This window comes from Homo sapiens, chromosome Y (assembly GCF_000001405.40).
Source record: "Homo sapiens chromosome Y, GRCh38.p14 Primary Assembly".
Classification (NCBI taxonomy): domain Eukaryota; kingdom Metazoa; phylum Chordata; class Mammalia; order Primates; family Hominidae; genus Homo; species Homo sapiens.
The window spans coordinates 1419420-1439481 of NC_000024.10; the positions used below are offsets into that span (position 1 = coordinate 1419420).

At 51.2% G+C, this 20062-nt stretch overlaps 1 protein-coding gene across 3 annotated transcripts in view; it reads right to left on the reverse strand.

The window, feature by feature from the left end:
- ASMTL (acetylserotonin O-methyltransferase like) overlaps positions 1–20062 on the reverse strand; it is a 50618-nt gene that overhangs the window by 16281 nt on the left and 14275 nt on the right. For 2 of the 3 annotated variants that reach the window (NM_001173473.2, NM_004192.4), the window contains exons 3-9: positions 19678–19725; positions 16275–16339; positions 15603–15664; positions 12850–12958; positions 8315–8702; positions 6106–6268; positions 2239–2423 (exon numbers count right to left, since the gene is read on the reverse strand). In NM_001173473.2, the coding sequence (NP_001166944.1) occupies positions 2239–2423; positions 6106–6268; positions 8315–8702; positions 12850–12958; positions 15603–15664; positions 16275–16339; positions 19678–19725 (1020 nt within the window). The remainder of the gene's footprint in view (positions 1–2238; positions 2424–6105; positions 6269–8314; positions 8703–12849; positions 12959–15602; positions 15665–16274; positions 16340–19677; positions 19726–20062) is intronic. The other variant, NM_001173474.2, reaches the window with a different exon arrangement.

The following is a 20062-nucleotide window of genomic DNA, read 5'->3' on the forward strand; positions in this document are numbered from 1 at the left end:
CCCTGGAGGCTCCGGGTGGCCCACAAACACCTCACTGGAGAAAACCAGGAGAGAAGCCACAATGTCTCTGCAGGTGCCCCGGCTCAGCCTTCACCACAATGGTGCGGTGTGCAGAGGGGGCTCCTCCGAGAATTCTGGTGTGCAGAGGAGAAGCTCCTCCGAGCTTCTCCAAGTCCCCCCAGTGGCACCTACCCCGGGTCCCAGAGGAGCCCAGGCTCATCCTGGCTCAGTGCTGTGTCCAGGGTTCGCCTGGACATCCCGTCCCTGCAGGGCAAGCAAGCCCAGCTGAGGATGCTTCTGAGCCCCGCTCCCAGCAGGACAGCCGGTCTCCATCCTGGCTCCCTAAATCTCGCGGGGGCTCCCCGGCCCTCCCCTGCGTGGGTGGCAATCATGGGGCTCAGGGATCTGTCCTCTGCGATGCCCACGCTGGCTGCTCACGCCAGCTCAGGGCCCCTGTCCGTGCCTCTCGGCTTCTCCACCACTGGCTTCTCTCTCTGACTCTTTCTCCCTTGGTCTCTGTCTGTCTGTCTCTGTCTCCGTCTGTGTGTCTCTGTCTTCCTCTTTCTCTCTCTCTGTTTCTGTCTCCTGTCTCTGTTTCTTTCTATCTCCCTCTGTCTCTGTCTCTATGTCTGTCTCCTGTTTCTGTCTCTATCTGCCTCTATCTCTGTCTCTCCAAGCCTCCCTGTCTCTGTCTCCCATCTCCCTCTATGTGTCTGTCTGTCTCCATCTTTGTTTCTGTCTCCCTATCTCTGTCTCCGCCTCCCTCTGTCTCTCAAGTCTCCCTGTCTCTCCATCTCTCTCCCTATCTCACTATCTGTCTCCCATCTCCGTGTCTGTCTCACTCTATCTCTGTCTCTGTCTTTCTGTCTCCCTGTTTCTGTCTCCCTCTATCTCCCTGTCTCTGTCTGCCTCCATCTCTGTCTGTCTCTGTCTCCCTCTATCTTTCTGTCTGCCTATCTCTCTCTCTGTGTCTCCCTGTCTGTATGTCTCTCCCCAACATCTGCAGGAAGCCCCCGGCTCCCTGGGGCTCATCTCTGCATCACACACACACACCCTGACTCCGTGCTCACTGCCACAGAAGCTCGGCCAGCGCTGCCAAGGAGGCATGAGGCCACGGCCAGCCGAGCCCACAGCAGACTCCCCACGCCTGGCTGGCACAGCCCTGCAGACCGAGACCCACCCATCTGCACAGGCCCCACGGACCCCACCATATCTCACACGTCCACCTCAGGAAGGTTCTGGGCGGGGAAAGGGGAAGGAGGGGCGAGAGGATGCAGGGAGCGCTTTGCAAACAGCGGCCTCAGATAAGCAAGTGTCAGTTCCATTGAAGCAAAGAAGAAACAGGGCATTCATTTAAGGCAGCCTGTCCAACTCCTTCCTATTTCTATTTTTCAGACAGAGTCTTGTTCTGTCACCCGGGCTGGAGTGCAGCAGCACCATCACGGCTTACACTGCAGCCTTGACCTCCCAGGTTCAAGTGATCTTCCCACCCACCTGGGCCTCCCAAAGTAGCTGCCTAATCATACCTGGCTAATCGTTAATTTTTTTTTTTTTTTTTGAGATGGAGTTTCGCTCTGTCACCCAGGCTGGAGGGCAGTGGCGTGATCTCAGCTCACTGCAACCACCACATCCCGGGTTCAAGTGATTCTCCTGCCTCAGCCTCTTGAGTAGCTGGGACTACAGGCACGCGCCATCATCCCCAGCTAATTTTTTTTTTGTATTTTTAGTAGAGATGGGGTTTCAGCACGTTGGCCAGGTTGGTCTCGCACTCCTGACCTCAGGTGATCAGCCCACCTTGGCCTCCCAAACTAGCTGGGATTACAGGCTCATGCCACCATGCCCAGCCTAACTGTTAATTTTTTGTAGAGATGGGGGTCTCACTATGTTGCCCAGGCTGGTCTCAAACTCCCGGGCTCAAATCATCCTCCCAACTTGGCCTCCCAAAGTGCTGGGAGTGACAGGTGTGAGCCCCTGAGCATGGCCTTCAAACCTGTTTCTAGGAGGAAATTCTATTTTCATCAGCTGCTGGATAACAGTGGAGGATGTCTAAGTTGCACCTGTTCCAGGGCTGAGTGACACAAGAGCCACGGCACTAAGTTCTCCAGGCAGAACGAGCCAAGCCTTTGGGATCTGTCAGACTGGAGACAGACTGGTCAAGGTGCCTACTGATCTGTGTGTCAAAGTGTTTTAGCAAAATGCACGCTAGACGGAAAGGTGTCCGCGGGGGTGTTATGCTACCTGGAACAGATCTTCCGCCTTCTTCCCCAACGCCCTGTGGTGCTGGTTTGTTCCCTCTCGGATGGCAAACTCCAGGTATGTAAAGAGGTTCCATGTGAGGTCATTATTGTGCATGATGAAGCCGTGCAGAGAGTATTCGCCATCCGATGCCAGGTAGACGTTCGCTGTCTCTGTGTTACTGTAACCTGGAGAAATGGGGACAGTCGTGTGACCTCCTAACGAGAAAACCCAAGGAAACCTGACCGTAGGGGATGTATCATTGAGATGTTAAAATAAACATCACCCATCTGACTATAGCAAACCGTACACTCAAGGAAACCTGACCATAGGGGATGCATCATTGAGATGTTAAAATAAACATCATCCATCTGACTATAGCAAACTGTACACTCAGGGTCAGCTGGGCAGGAAAACAGCAGCCACCACGCCCCAGCTGTCAACTGCTGTAACTGTTACCCACTGAGGCTGATCCTTTCTTCATGATCGTGGCCACGCTCAAGTTCCCAGTTATGCAGGCAAACACCCATCTAGATGTGGCTGTGGAGGTGTGCTGTAGCTGGCGTTTGCATCTACCATCAGTTTGACTTTAAGGAGATTAACCCCCCAAAATGTGCATTGGCCTCATCCAGCTCATTGAAAACCCCAGAAGCAAACATTGGGCTTTCCTGGAGGAGAAATTCCACTTGAAGATGGCAGCAGCAGCTCCTGCCTGAGCTTCCAGCCTCCTGGCCTGCCCTGTGGATTTTGGACTTGCCAGCCTACACAATCACGTAAGTCCTCAAGATAAATCTCCTAGGTTATATCCTAGGGGTTCTGTTACCCTGGAGAGCCCCAAATGATACAGGGAACTTCATTCTCCACCCACTTCATGCCCAGGTCAGCTGTCCATAGACCCAGTCCCCAAGCTCCCTTCCAGGATGCCCCCTCCCACAGAATGGGAGGCTGGAAGGTGGAGAAGTTGTTGGTGGAGACCCGTATATGGAAACAGATGGCCTCGCACCACTCCGGTCCTCCTATGTAAGAAACAGCCCTGTGTTCATGTTAATGATGAAATGTTACTGTTTTCCCACCGAGCTGACCCTGAGTGTACGGTTTGCTATAGTCAGATAGATGACATTTATTTTCATCATGAATAAATGATGAGACCTATGGTGAAGCAGGAGCAGCCTCTGCAGACGTGGAACTGCTCCTAGGACTCAACTGCACAAAGCGTTGTCAAAAGGAGTTGGAACAAGCTTGCATGGTGCCGGTGATGAAAAGCCTTTCTCCATATTCATCATTATTTTCTTTCTTTTAATTTTTTAATTTTTTTTGAGATGGAGTCTCACTCTGTCCCCCAGGCTGGAGTGCAGTGGCACGATCTCAGCTCACTGCAAGCTCCGTCTCCTGGGTTCATGCCATTGTCCTCCCTCAGCCTCCCGAGTAGCTGGGACTACAGGCACCCGCCACCGTGCCCGGCTAATTTTTTGTATTTTTAGTAGAGACGGGGTTTCACCGTGTTAGCCAGGATGGTCTTGATCTCCTGAACTCGTGATCTGCCTGCCTTGGCCTCCCCAAGTGCTGGGATTACAGGCGTGGCCTATTCATCATTATTTTCAATACGGGAGAATGGTCCTGAACTGCTCTGGCTGGGGAAGATGTTCTGGCTTCTATGTTCCAGCCTCTAAGGATATAGTCACATGTCTCTGTGGTAAGGGCACAGCCTTTGGAGCCTCAACCAGGGCATGCTTTGTCTCCTAATCACAGAAGCACAGCCACCTCTGCCCAGGTGTCATCTGTTGTCCTGCCCTTCCCAGGCTACTCAAGGACTTGGTCATGTGCTCTCTATTCTAGCACCATGCTGAAGAGTTCTGTTCAATTCAGAAAACACATTGTCATCCATCCATCCATCCACCCACTCACCCACCCATCCAGTTATCCACTCACCCACCCATCTAGTCATCCACCCACCCATCTGCTGATCCACCCATTCATCACTCATCTATGCATTCCCCCACCCATCCAATCCACCGATCCACCCATCTACCCACTCATCCATCCATTCCCCCACCCAGCTACCCATCCAGCAATCCACTGATACATCTATCCATCCATCCTCCCATCCATCCGTCCACCCACCCATCCATCTATTCACCCACCCTCCCAATCATCCACCCAGCCATGCACCCATCCATCCACTCATCCATCCATTCACACGCCCACCCATCCACATGCCCACTCATCCATCCATCCACCTACCCATCCATCTATTCACCCATCCACTGATGGATCCACTGATCCATGCACCCATGCATGCATCCATACATCCACATCCATTTATCCATTCATTCCCCCACCCATCCAATCACTCATCCATCCATCTGTCCATCCATCCATCCATCCACCCACCCACCTACCCATCCATCCACCCATCCACTGATGGATCCACTGATCCATCCACCCATGCATGCATCCATCCATCCACATCCATTTATCCATTCATTCCCCCACCCATCCAATCACTCATCCATCCATCCATCCACCCACCCACCCACCCATCTGTTCACCCACCCTCCCCATCATCCACCCAGCCATGCACCCGTCCATCCATTCATGCACTCATCCACATGCCCACTCATCCATCCACCCATCCAACCACCCACCTACCCATTCATCCATCCATTCCCCCACCCAGCTACCCAACCACCGATCCACTGATATATCTGTTCATCCACCCTCCCATCCATCTGTCCACCCACCCATCCGTCTATTCACCCACACTCCCAATCATCCACCCAGCCGTGCACCCATCCATCCACTCATCCATCCATTCACACGCCCACCCATCCACACGCCCACTCATCCATCTATCCACACATCTATCCACTCACCCATCCATCCACACATCCATCCATCCATCCATCTGTCCGTCCATCCATCCATCCAGCCACCCATCCACTCACCCACTTATCCATCCACCCATCCATCCACTTACCCACCCATCTATGCACTCATCCACCGATTCATCGATCCATCCATCCATCTACCCACCTTTATCCATCCAGTCATCCACCCATCCATCCACACATCCTTCCATTCACACATCCATCCATCTATCCACTCACCCACTCATCCATCCACCCATCCATCCACTTACCCACCCATCTACCCACCCTTCCATTTATCCATCCACCTCTCCATCCATCCATCTATCCATCCACCCACCCACCCATCCATCCACCCATCCACTGATCCACCAATCCATCCACCTTCCCATCCATGTATCTATCCATCCATTGATCAATCCATCTGTCCATCCATCCATCCATCCATCCCTCCTCCCATCCATCTATCCACCTACCATCCATCCATCCATCCATCCATCCTTCCTCCCATCTATCCACCTACCATCCATCCATCCATCTATCCATCCATCCATTTATATATCAACTCTACCCATCATCTATGTATCTGTCATCTCTCTATCGTCAATCTATATCAATGTATCTATGCATTTATCATCTATCTATGTATCTGTCTACCCATCCATCTACGTTATTTGTCTATAAAAATAAATAAGCAACTAAATCAATGTCTGTGTACACCGTATTGGGTTCTGTTTCTCAGGAGAACATGGACTGATACAGCCCCTTTGAGACTAGAGCCCATAAGGAGGTCACGCTTCTCCTATGTGCTCGCGGCTGCCACTGTTCCCTCTCTGTCATTCACCCTCTGCTTCTCAACCTTTCGGGAAAAGCAGCATTCCTGAGGGCAGAGGGACAGAAGGTGTGGGCCTCCTTCCTCGCTCTGCCCAGGCTCCAGGTCACCTTCCCTCAGTGACTTCCACCTGCAAAGATCCTCAGAGCAAAACCCGCTGGGTCCTGTCACCTTGCTCTGTCTTCTCCAGGAGCCCCATGGCAGCACAGATGTCCAGAAGCCTCTCCATTCCACACGCAGAGGCGTCCACTTTGCTGGCAATATCCGCAGCCTTCTGGGGTGCTTCATCTTTTAACAAATCGAACACCTTCAGTTTGCAAGCGGTGAGCAGGCCCTGTTAAAAGCAAGTGCAGAGAGACTCATTAAGTCCCTTGTCCAGTACTTTCTACTCCCACAGACTCAAAAGATGGAGGCCAACGCTGTCGGAAGTATACAACTTGGCCATTGAGCCTTCTTTCACAGAGAACGGTGGGGATTTATAGGATCAAGTCCCCAGCTATAAAACAAGGTGTACACAAGGAAAAAGCACATCAACGAATATCATGCAGAAAAACTAGCCCATGGGAGAAAAATCAACATGCTGCCGATATGGACTGAGTTCAAAACCCAGATGTTGAACTCCTAATCCCCCCAGTCCCTCAGGATGTGACTGTATTTGTAGGCAGGGTTTTAAAGAAGTGATTCAGGTAAAATGAGGTCATTTGGGTGGACCCTAATCCAATAGGACTGGGGTCCCTATAAGAAAAGGAGATGAGGACACAGACACACACACAGGGACGACCCTGTGAGGACACAGGGAGAAGACAGCATCTCCAAGCCCAGGAGAGAGGCCTCAGGAGGAACCAGCCCTGCCCACACGTTGATCTTGGACCTCCAGCCTCCAGGACTGTGGGAGAATCAATGTCTGTTGTTTATAAACCACCTGGTGGTGATTTAATAATCACCACTTGGTAAATTAGAGGCACAGACGGAATGTGCTGTAACCACCTTTATTCCTTATTCACTGCATGTTCTCTCTCCTGATGATGAATGGCAGGAGGTGTCATCAGCCCGTCTCCCTGTCTCCCAAAGCCTGCGTCCCTCCTGCACCCGACATCCCCACCTCTGCTTCCCGGAGGACGCCCTGTGAGGGACCCCTGGTGTTGGGAGGGCTGCATCCCTTCTAGGCTGCCACCGTGAGGGGCCCCTGAACAGAACAGCTGAAAGATGGGGCCTCAGGCCGGGCGCGCTGGCTCACGCCTGTAATCCCAGCACTTTAGGAGGCCGAGGCGGGTGGATCAGCTGAGGTCAGGAGTTCGAGACCATCCTGGCCAACATAGCGAAACCCTGTCTCTACTAAAAGTACAAAAATTAGCCGGGCTTGGTGGTGGGCGCCTGTAATCAGGAGGCTACTCCTGAGGCTACTCAGGATCTCCTCTTGAGATTCTTAATTACATCTGCTAAGACCCCTTTTTAAAACAAGGTCCCATTCACAGATTCTGGGGATCAGGCTATGAACAGATCTTTCAGGAGGACCACAGTTAGGAGGCTGAGGCAGGAGAATCGCTTGAACCCGGGAGGCAGAGGTTGCAGTGAGCCGAGATCATGCCACTGCACTCCAGCCTGGATGACAGAGCCAGACTCTGTCTCAAAAACAAAAACAAAAACAAAAAAAAGAGAAAAAGAAAAAAGGGTCTTTGCAGACGTAAGTAAGCTAGGGGACTTCAGATGAGTTGGAGTCAGTGGATTAGGGAGACCTCAAAATCCAATGACAGGTGTCCTTCTAAGAGACAGAAGAGACACAGACACAGAGGAGAAGGCCACGTGGAGACAAAGGCAGAGACTGGAGTGATACGGCCACAAGCCCAGGGATGCCTGGAGCCCCCAGGAGCTGGGAGAGGCAGGAAGGACCCTCCCCTGGGGCCTCCAGAAGGAACTGGATACATCTGTAGTGGACTGAACTGTGGTCCTCCTGAAAGATCTGTCCATATCCTGATCCCCAGAATCTGTGAATGGGACCTTGTTTTAAAAAGGGGTCTTGGCAGATGTAATTAAGAATCTCAAGAGGAAATCATCACGAAGAAGGGTGGACTCCAAGTCCAATGACAGGTGTCCTTCTAAGAGACAGAGGAGGAGACACAGACACAGTGGATGAGGCCACGTGGAGGACGTGGCAGAGACTGGAGTGATGCGGCCACAAGCCCAGGGATGCCTGGAGCTGTCAGGAGCTGGGAGAGGCAGGAAGGACCCTCTCCTAGAACCTTCGGAGAAAGCATGGCCCTGAGACAACCTGACCTCAGACTGCCAGCCTCCAGGACAGTGAGAAGTAAATTCCCTTTGATTTAAGCCGAGTGTGTAGGCTCATTTGTGAAATGTGGCCTGAGGAGACAGACACAGGTACCTTGGATAGCATAAAGCCCTCAATCAGCTCCAGGAGGCGTGTCGGGAACGGAGGCAGGGTCTCCCGAGTCCTGTGACACTCAGCCTCTGCCGTGGCCTGTCCCGCCTCTCCCGCCTCGGCCTTCTCATCGCGGCTGCCCGCGTCCCTCTGAGTGGGCTCCGAGCCGCCCCCCTCCACGTCACTGAGGTCTTCGAAGGTGTCCGCGGCCGGGATGGAGTCGTGCTTGACACTCCGCCGCAGGTCCTCCGGACGGGGCGGGTAGTAGAGCTTCACCAGCTGCTTGCAGAAGTGGTTCAGCGGGAATCCCACCACGTTCAGAAAGTCCCCGTGTACGGACTCCACCAGCATGCCGCCCAGGGCCTGGATCCCGTAGCCGCCAGCTTTGTCCCTGGGTGGGCAGGGGAAGGTAAGAGGTGACAAGGAGGAGAAAAGTTCCTGGGTCTGAACATTTCACGGCTGGGAGGCGGAGGTGGGTGGATCACGAGGTCGGGAGATCGAGGCCATCCTGGCTAACACAGTGAAACCCTGTCTCTACTAAAAAAAATACAAAAAATTAGCCAGGCGTGGGGGCAGGCGCCTTTGGCATCTCAAAAAAAAAAAAAAAAAGAAAAACAATTTCACAGCAAGGCTGGGCGCAATGGCTCACGGCTGTAATCCCAGCACTTTGGGAGGCCGAGACGGGTGGATTACTTGAGGTCAGAAGTTCAAGACCAGCCTGGCCAACACGGTGAAACCCCATCTCTACTAAAAATACAAAAATTAGCCGGGTGTGGTGTGGTGGCACACGCCTGTAATCCCAGCTACCCAGGAGGCTGAGACAGGAGAATCACTTGAACCCAGGAGGAGGAGGTTGCAGTGAGCCGAGATCGTGCCACTGCACTCCAGCCTGGGCGGCAGAGGAAGACTCCGTCTCAAATAAATAAATAAATAAATAAAATTTCATGTGTTAAATGGGATGTTTTGACATATGTATACATGCGTCATCATTAAATCAAGCCAATTATCCCATTCAGCATCTCATCTACGAATTGTGTGTGTGTGTGTGGGGAGAAGACTTCAGATCTAGTGTGCTGGCAATTTACCAGTAAGACACTGTTCCTATAAACCACAGTCACAGGCTGTAAAGAGCCTTGAACTTCTTCCTCCTGTCTCACTTTTTTATTTTTTATTTTTATTTTTTAAAGACAGAGTCTCGCTCTGTCGCCCAGGCTGGAGTGCAGTGGCGCGATCTCGGCTCCCTGCAACCTCCGCCTCCTGGGTTCAAGCGATTCTCCTGCCTCAGCCTCCCGGGTAGCTGGGATGACAGGCACCTGCCAACACACCCGGCTAATTTTTGTATTTAGTAGAGACGGGGTTTCACCATGTTGGCCACGATGGTCTCGAACTCCTGACCTCAGGTGATGCGCCTGCCTCGGCCCCCCAAAGTGCTGGGATTACAGGTGTGAACCACCACGTCTGGCCCTCTTTTCTCTTTCTTATTTTATCTATTTTTTTTTTTCAAGACAGGGTCTCACTCGGTTGCTCAGGCTGAAGTGCAGTGGTACATTCTTGGTTCTCTGCTCCCTCAAAATTCTGGGCTCAAATGATGCTGTAATCTCAGCCTCCCACGTAGCAGGGACACACTCAGCTAGTTTTATCATTTTTTATAAAGATGGGGTTTCACTCTGTTGCCCAGGCTGGTCTCGAACTCCTGGGATGAAGTGATCCTCCCGTCTTGGCTTGAGCTACTGTGCCCGGCCTGTCTTTCTTTAAATGTATGTAAACATTAAAGTATGTATGAAAGTGCAGGTGTTGGGCTGGGCGCGGTGGCTCCCAGCACTTCGGGAGGCTGAGGCAGGCAGATCACCTGAGGTCAGGAGTTCGAGACCAGCCTGGCCAACATGGCAAAACCCCTTCTCTACTAAAAATAAAAAATTCGCCAGGCGTGGCGGTGGGTGCCTGTAGTCCCAGCTACTTGGGAAGCTGAGGCAGGAGAATCGTTTGAAACTGGAAGGTGGAGGTTGCAGTGAGCCAAGATCGCGCCACTGCACTCCAGCCTGGGTGACGGAGGAAGACTCCGTCTCAAAAAAAATTTCATGTGTTAAATGGGATGTTTTGATATATGTATACATGTGACATCATTAAATCAAGCCAATTATCCCATCGAGCACCTCATGTACCTATTCTGTGTGTGTGGGGAGAAGACTTCAGATGTAGTGTGCTGGCAATTTTCCAGTAAGACACTGTTCCTGTAAACCACAGTCACTAGGCTGTAAAGAGCCTTGAACTTCTCCCGTCTCACTTAATTTTTTTTTTTTAAAAGACGGAGTCTCGCTCTGTTGCCCAGGCTGGAGTGCAGTGGCGCGATCTCGGCTCACTGCAACCTCCACCTGCTGGGTTCAAGCGATTCTCCTGTCTCAGCCTCCTGGGTAGCTGGGATTACAGGCACCTGCCACCACACCGGGCTAATTTTTGTATTTTTAGTAGAGATTGGGATTTGCCATATCCAGGCTGGTCTTGAACTTCTGACCTCAGGTGATCCGCCTGCCTCGGCCTCCCAAAGTATTGGGATGACAGGCGTGAGCCACCATGCCTGGCCCTGATTTAAATCTTGTATCCTTTGACCAAGTGCAACTGTTTTATATTCCATATAAGTGAGATCCTGTGGTATGTGTCTTCTTCTGCCGGGCTTATTTCAATTGATGTAAAATCCTCTAGGTTAATATACATATATATTACGCAGACTCCATCTCTACAAAAACTAACAATAAAATCGGCCGCGTGTGTTGGTGCGTGTCCTGTGGTCCCACCTACTCAGGAGGCTTTGGTGGAAGGATCGCCTGAGCCCAGGAGTTCAAGACCAGCCTGGGCAACATAGTGAGACCCCATTGCTACAAAAAATAGAAAAAATTAGCCAGGCGTGGTGGTATGCGTCTGCAGACCCAGCCACTAGTGGGGCTGAGGTGAGAGGATCATTTTGACTCAAGAGGCTGACGCTGCAGTGAGCTATGACTGTACCACTGCACTCCAGCCTGGGTGACAGAGTGAGACCGTGTCTCAAAAAAATAAATAAAATTATTTATATAAATATATAAAATAAACATATATTTTATACAAATGTATTTATATACATATATTTATATATTTATATACTTTTATAATATAAAAATATATTTTATATAATTATATATTTATATAACACATAATACATTATATATTATATATAACTAATATGTATTACATATATTTAATTAATATATAATTTACATATAATCACACTTTATATTATTATGTAATATGTATTAATATGCAGTTACATATATTAATCATATTTAATACATATTACATATTATCCATATATTCATATATTTCTATATTATATAAATATATAATTATATTTTATAATATATAATCATTTTATAATTATATATATAATTATATATAATTTATATTTATATAATTGTTTATAATTATATATAATTATATATCATTTATAATTAATTATATATAATTATAAATTATATTTATATATAATTATAAATATATGTAATTATATATTTATATATAAATAAAATTAAATATATAAAATATATAAAATTATATATTTTATATATAATTATAAATAATTATAAATATAAATTATATAATTTATATATAATTATAATCGATTATAACTACCTATTATATAATCTATTTTAACAGTTATATAACCTATCATATAATCTATTATAACAGTATATATTATAATAGATGGTATATATTACATTAATATTAATCACTACTTATTAAAATTAATCATTAAAAATCATTAAATTTCAATCAAAAGTGTTAATATATAATCTATATTATAATATCTATATGTAATATAGTATACATATTACAGTATAATCTATTATAGTATATAATACAATATATTATAAATATATATTATATAATTTGTATAATGTAGATTATATATAATTAATAGAATATATAATGTGGAATACATAAATTATATATAATTGTAAATATATATCATGTTACATTATATAATGTATAATTATGTAGACATTATATGACATATGATGTAGATAAATATAATACATATAAACGCAAATGGTGGGTGATGAAGTGAAGCTGATTGGTGCACGCATACTTCCCGTGCTCACCAATCTGTGGACGGGACGACAGGTAGAATCACCTCTTAGGGTGACTTTGGATCACAGAGTTTATTCGTGTTAATTGCAGCCAGCGTCCTGGGCACAGACCTCTGGGGTCTCCTCCTCCCACCACGTGAACTCCTCTACCCCTGCCCAGCGCCTCCCCAGTCCCCACCGCAGCCCAGCGTTGGCTCCCACCCTGCCCCTCTCTGTCCTGGGAGTTTGCCTCTTTGAGCCTCCATGGGTCAGTGTGGTCGTGAAGGGTTTGTGCTTCTGAGCCGGGCGGCTCTCCCTGTGCCACACGGCCCCCGGAGCGGGGCCTCCTTCTTTCCCAAAGGCTGGGTGGGACACCCCACGTGTGAGGGTGGCCAGGCTTCCACACGTGTCCCCCGTCCCCCCACCGCCCCCGAGACTCACATGGGCTCCCCGCTGTGGACGTATTCCCAGAGCAGCTCCTCGGACAGCTCCGAGAACTTCACCTTCGTTTCCTCGTAGAATTCCGAGACCCTGGTGTCCAGCTGATGGTCTGCAAGGACACAGCCGTGGGGGTGAGCGTGGACGCCAGCTTGTCACCTCCGTGCCCTGACAGCTGCGTGGCTGTGCTGTGGAGGTGTGTACTCGAGCGCAGCGCACAGTTCAGATATGGATGCTTCATGGGAGAATAAGGTTCATTTCGGACAAGAAAAGGGAGAAAGGGGCCGGGCGCGGTGGCTCACGCCTGTCATCCCAGCACCTTGGGAGGCCGAGGCGGGTGGATCACGAGGTCAGGAGTTCGAGACCATCCTGGCTAACACGGTGAAACCCCGTCTCTACTAAAAATACAAAAAATTAGCCAGGCCTGGTAGTAGGTGCCTGTAGTCCCAGCTACTCGGGAGGCTGAGGCAGGAGAATCGCTTGAACCCGGGAGGTGCAGGTTGCAGTGAGCCGAGATCGCGCCCCTGCATTCCAGCCTGGGCCACAGAGCGAGACTCCGTCTCTAAAAAAAACAAAAGAAACAGCAGTTTGGGCGGCCGAGGCGGATGGATCACCAGAGGCCAGGGGTTCGAGACCAGCCTGGCCAACATGGCGAAACCCCGTCTCTACTAAAAATACAAAAATTAGCCGGGCGTGGTGGCATGCACCTGTCATCCCAGCTACTCGGGAGGCTGAGGCAGGAGAATCGCTTGAACCCGGGAGGCGGAGGTTGCAGTGAGCCAAGATCACGCCACTGTACTGCAGCCTGGGCGACAGAGCGAGACTCTGTCTCAAATAAATAAATAATAAAAGAAACAGATGTTTGGTCTGTGCCTCAGGGTCCGGACACAGAGCCCCTGAATCCCGGGGAATCTGTTGAGTGACAGGAGCGAAAGCAGGCGTTTTGCTATGTGGTGACAAGCCCCTTTCATCCGCAGGGGACCTTATGTTAATGAGGGGCCTTTTGGAAAGGGCAGGCTTTGGTTGTCATGGGAACAGGGGGAGGGGGCTGGAGATGGAGTTTGCTCCCCAGTGGCGGATGATGTCGTTAATCCTGGCCTTTTAAGAGACCCAGAAGGGACCGCGCGCGGTGGCTCACGCCTGTCATCCCAGCACTTTGGGAGGCCGAGGCGGGCGGATCACAAGGTCAGGAGATCGAGACCCTCCTGGCTACCACGGTGAAACCCCGTCTCTACTAAAAAAAAAAAAAAAAAAAAAATAGAAAAAATTAGCCGGGCGTGGTGGCGGGCCCGTCGTCCCAGCTACTCGGGAGGCTGAGGCAGGAGAAGGGCGTGAACCCGGGAGGCGGAGCTTGCAGTGAGCCGAGATGGCGCAAGTGCACTCTAGCCTGGGCGATAAAGCGAGACTCTGTCACAAAAAAGAAAAAAAAAAGAGACCCAGAAGGACAGGGTTCAGGGAGCTTCTGGTGGGTGAACACATCAGGGTGTTGGCAGAGCTGTGCCACGGCGGGCATGGAGGCTCCATACATCCTGCACCCAGCACCCTGCGCTGTGCCTGGCTTCTGTCTGGCACTTCCTGACCTGCTCCTTCATAACAAAACCCCAAGCTGGGAAGGAAAGTGCTGTCCCGAGTTCTGTGAGCCCCTCGAGCAAATGACCCAACCTGAGCAGGTGCTTGCAGGAGCCAGCAGTGAGCGGCAGGTGGGTGAGAAAACTACAGGTGTGACCAGGGATATGGGGCTGGGATTGTGCGTGGAGGTCCCATGGGACCCGGCCCTTCACCTGTGGGATCTGCGCTAACTCCGACGGCTACTGTCAGAACTGACTGAATTCTACGATGCCTCCTGGTGTCCGCCAACAAGCTGGGAATGGGTTGGTGCAGGAAGAACCCAGCAATATGGTGATACAACTGCCTGGGCCGGGCACCGTGGTGCACACCTGCAGTCCCAGCAATATGGTGAACACCTGCAGTCCCAGCACTTTGGGAGGCTGAGATGGGAGGATTTCTTCAGCCCAGGAGTTCGAGACCAGTCTGGGCAACATAGCAAGACCGCACCTCTATAAAAAATACAAAAATGAGCCAGGTGTGGTGGCGTGTGCCTGTAGTTTCTGTGACTGTAGGGGCTGAGGCGGGAGGATCGCTGGAGCTCAGGAGGTCGAGGCTGCAGTGAGCTATGATCACACCACTGCACTCCAGCCTGGGTGACAGAGGGAGACCCTGTCTCAAAAAAAAAAAAAAGAAAGAAAGAAAGAGAAAGGCCGGGTGCAGTAGCTCACACCTGTAATCCCAGCACTTTGGGAGGCTGAGGCGGGTGGATCACCTGAGGTCAGGAGTTCGAGACCAGCCTGGCCAACATGGTGAAACCCCGTCTCTACTAAAAATACAAAAATTAGCCGGGCATGGTGGTGGGCACCTGTAATCCCAGCTACTGAGGCAGAAGGATCACTTGAACTTGGGAGGCGGAGGTTGCAGTGAGCTGAGATCGTGCCACTGCCCTCCAGCCTGGGTAAGAGAGCGAGACTCCATCTCAAAAAAAAAAAAAAAAGAAAGAAAAAGAAAAAGATAAAACCACACGTTTTCCTTTGTCCTGCAGACTTCCAAATCGGCGGACAACTTTCCCAAGCAGGACATAGGCACAAACCCCTCCACAGGTGGGGGTGAGCAACCGTCCTCCTCCCTCAAGCCAAGGGTCCCGAGAATGTCCCGGGTCCTTGTCTCGGCCTCTGGGGCTACCCCGAAACCTGGGCCGCGGTTACCTTTGCTGGAGCAGTGGACGATCGCGACACCTGTGAACACGCTGTGTTCTCTCCCACTCAACCTGTAAGACAACAACGGGTGACCACGTGACCATGCTGTGACCCGTGGGAGCTACAAAGCGAGTTTCTCAAAACCAGGGGAGGCAGCGAGGCGTCCTTAATCCTGGATCCGTCCCCAGCATCTTCTCCCCGATCGTCCCGCTGTGGGGTCTCCAGGGAAACCTTTACGGAGAGGCCGAGGGAAGGGGTCACAAATCCCACCAGCAGTGGCCCTGACGGGAGGCGCCAGGCCAGGCAGCTCTCAGCTGGGCCTATGGCGGGCAGGGGGTGCATCTCTTCCACGTCCTGGGATGGGGATGACGTCCCAGGCTACGGGCTCAGGTCCAGGATGCCCAGTGGGAAGGACAGGACACTGCCAACTTCTCATGACCCCAACAGTCTGCAGTGGGCATGAGACATTCTGGGATCAGTGCTGCAGAATCCTAGACAAGGATGAGCATGGAGGGATAGTGCCTGCCTCCCTGCATAGCTCAGACAGCACAGCTCAGACAGCACAGCTCAGACGGCAGAGCTGACAGAGATCCACCCTGCTCCCCAGGACACCCGGCCAGATACCACAGCTACTCTGTGGCTCAGAACCCGAGAGGGCTCAGAGGCCAACATGGTGCTTACCGGGACAGCATCCTGTAGGCGTCCTGCTTGTCCACCGGCTTCTCCAGAATCAGCCCCCCGACTGTCTGTGAGAGGAAGGGACAGAGGGAGTTGGTTCCCACCGGCTGGGTCAGGCCTGTGCAAGTCCCACGGTCCCATTCGCAGAAGTCACTTGTTTTATGGAAATGAAGCTGACACGTCCTGAGAGTCGCCATTTCAAACAACTAACCAGAGTTGCCATGTTGTACCACCACTACCTGCCTGGTTCCAGGATGTTCTCTTCACTCCAGAAGGAGACCCTGTCCCCACGCAGCTGTCCCTCCCCAGTGCGCCTCCCCAGATCCTGGTAACCGCCCATCCTCTTTCTTTCACCGTGCGTTTGCCTGTTGCGGACGTGGTGTAGTCATGGAATCCTGCAACGTGTGGTCCTCCGGGGCTGGTTTCTGTCACTGACCGTGATGTCCTCAACATTCATCCATGTTGCAGCCTGTTTCACAGCCTCGTTCCTTTCCTTTTCTTGAGATGGAGTCTCACTCTGTCGCCCAGGCTGGAGTGCAGTGGCACGGTCTTGGCTCACTGCAACCTCCGCCTCCGGGGTTCAAGTGATTCTCCTGCCTCAGCCTCCCGAGTTGCTGGGAATACAGGTGCACACCACCATGCCTGGCTAATTTTTGTTATTTTTTATTTATTTATTTTTTGAGACAGAGTCTCGCTCTATCACCCAGGCTGGAGTGCAGTGGCGCGATCTCGGCTCACTGCAAGCTCCGCCTCCCGGGTTCACGCCATTCTCCTGCCTCAGCCTCCCGAGTAGCTGGGACTACAGGCGCCCGCCACCACACCCGGCTAATTTTTTGTATTTTTAGTAGAGACGGGGTTTCACCATGTTGGCCAGGATGGTCTCGATCTCCTGACCTTGTGATCCACCCGCCTCGGCCTCCCAAAGTGCTGGGATGACAGGGGTGAGCCACCGCACCCGGCCAGCCTCATTCCTGTTCATGGCTGCATAATATTCCACTGTGTGTGGATGGACCATGTTGTAATTTCCCATTTACCCACTGACAGACACTTGAGCTGTTTCTGCCTTTTAGCTGTTGTGAATAGTGCTGCTGTGAACATTCATGTAGAAGGTTTTGGTGGAACACCTGTTTTGAATCCTTTTGGGTACATACAAGAGTAGATGTATTAGTCTGACTGGGCCACCATAGCAAAGTCCTACAACCCAGGTGGCTTAAACTACAGACATTGATTCTCCCATCGTCGTGGAGACTGGAAGGGCGAGATCCAGGTGTGGGCAGGGCTGGTTCCTCCTGAAGCCTCTCTCCTGGGCTTGGAGATGCCATCTTCTCCCTGTGTCCTCACAGACTCGTCCCTCTGTATCTGTGTCCTCATCTCCTCTTCTTATGAGATGCTTTAGTCCATCTCAGGCTGCTGTCACAGAATACCACAGACTGGGTGGCTTATAAACAACAGGCAGTGATTCTCCCACAGCCCTGGAGGCTGGAGGTCTGAGATCCAGGTGTGGGCAGGGCTGGTTCCTCCTGAGGCCTCTCTCCTAGGCTTGTAGACGCCGTCTTCTCCCTGTGTCCTCACAGGGTCATCCCTCTGTGTGTGTCTGTGTCCTTATCTGCTCTTCTTATGAGGTGTCTTAGTCCATTTCAGGCTGCTAAAACAATACTATAGACTGGGTGGCTTATAAACAGCAGACATTGATTCTTCCATAATCCTGGAGTCTGGAAGTCTGAGATCCAGGTGTGGGCAGGGCTGGTTCCTCCTGAGGCCTCTCTCCTGGGCTTGGAGACGCCGTCTTCCCCCTGTGTCCTCACAGGGTCGTCCCTCTGTGTGTGTCTGTGTCCTCATCTCCTCTTCTTATGAGATGTCTTAGTCCATTTCAGGCTGCTATCACAGAATACCATAGACTGGGTGGCTTATGAACAAAAGACATGGGCCGGGCGTGGTGGCTCACGCCTGTAATCCTAGCACTTTGGGATGCCGAGGCGGGTGGATCACAAGGTCAGGAGATCGAGACCATCCTGGCCAACATGGTGAAACCCCGTCTCTACTAAAAATACAAAAAATTAGCCACACGTGGTCGCGCGCACCTGTAGTCCCCGCTACTCGGGAGGCTGAGGCAGGAGAATCATTGAAACCCGGGAGGCGGAGGTTGCAATGAGCTGAGATCATGCCACTACAGTCCAGCCTGGCGACAGAGTGAGACTCCATCTCAAAAAAAAAAAAAAGGAGAAATGGGTCTTTGCCTAGGTAATTAAGATGCGGTTGGACAGAATTAGGATGCGCATTTTATGAGTGGTGTTGTTAAAAGAAGGGGAAAATTTCAGCCGGGCGCGGTGGCTCACGCCTGTCATCCCAGCACTGTGGGAGGCTAAGGTGGGCAGATCACTTGAGGTCGGGAGTTTGAGACCAGCCTGGCCAACATGGTGAAACCCCGTCTCTACTAAAAATACAAAAATCAGCCGGGCGTGGTGGCGGGTGCCTGTGATCCCAGCTACTCAGGAGGCAGGAGAATCGCTTGAACCCGGGAGGCGGAGGTCCCGGTGAGCCGAGATCACGCCACTGTAATCCAGCCTGGGCAACACAGTGAGACTCTCTCTCAAAAAAAAAAAAGAAGAGGGAAATTTGGCCACAGACACCCAGAGGGGAGAAGGCCACATGGAGATGGAGGCACAGATAGGAACCACAGGGCCATGAGCCAAAGGAGACAATGGGTTGCCAACAGCCTCTAGGAGCTGGAGAAAGACCAAGACCAACTTCTCCTCAGTACCTCTGGAAGGAAGAAACCCTACAGACACCGTGATTTGTGGTTGCTGGCCTCTAGAACTGCGTACCTTCCTGTGCCTTTTGAGACGGAGTCTCGCTCTTGTCACCCAGGCTGGAGTGCAGTGGCGCGATCTCGGCTCACTGCAACCCCGCCTCCTGGGTTCGAGCGATTCCCCTGCCTCAGCCTCCCGAGTAGCTGCGATTACAGGCGGAGTCTGTATTCTGTATCATTGATGATATAGAATTAATGTAGCTTATCTGTTACTATGTGTTATAATATTCTCTTGCAATTGATATCATATAGTATCACTTATGATACTATCAATTAGCCACCACGTCTGGCTAATTTTTGTATTTTTAGTAGAGATGGGGTTTTACCGTGTTGGTCGGGCTGATCTCGAACCCATGACCTAAGGTGATCCGCCCACCTCGGCCTCCCAAAATGCTGGGATGACAGGGGTGAGCCACGGCGCCTGGCCCCTTCCCGTGCCCTTAGGCCCCTCATCTGCTGGTAGTTTGTGATGGGAGTTTCTGGAAGCGAGTCCACTGCTGTCTTAAGGGGAATGTACAACATCCACAAGAGGCAGAATCACCAAGCACAGGAAAACCACATCGGACATTAGAAACGAGGCACCCTGGCCGCACTCACCACGATCGTGTCCGCTCCAATGACCACGTCGGGGGCCCGCAGGTCTTTCTGTAAGAAAACCAGATTCCGGTTTACCGGTGACGTGCCGTGGGTCTCACAGAGAAGTTTTCCCGTCGGTACGGGCGTGAAAGAGCACCGCAGGGGCGAAGCCAGGCCGACTTTGGAAGTGAAGGCTGGGGGTGCTCAAGGTCACGAGCAAGGACACAAGTGGGTCCCGCCGGTGGTCGCCCTGCAGGGGCTGGAACGTGGGTGAGGCCGGGGCCCACGGGGGCTGCGTGATCAGGGGTCAGGCACTCACGGAGCATCTCACGGGCACTACGGGAAACGCAATGCCTGTTCCGTAAGCTTTTGTTCTTCCGGGCGGCAGGTAAGGTTTGATTCAGGG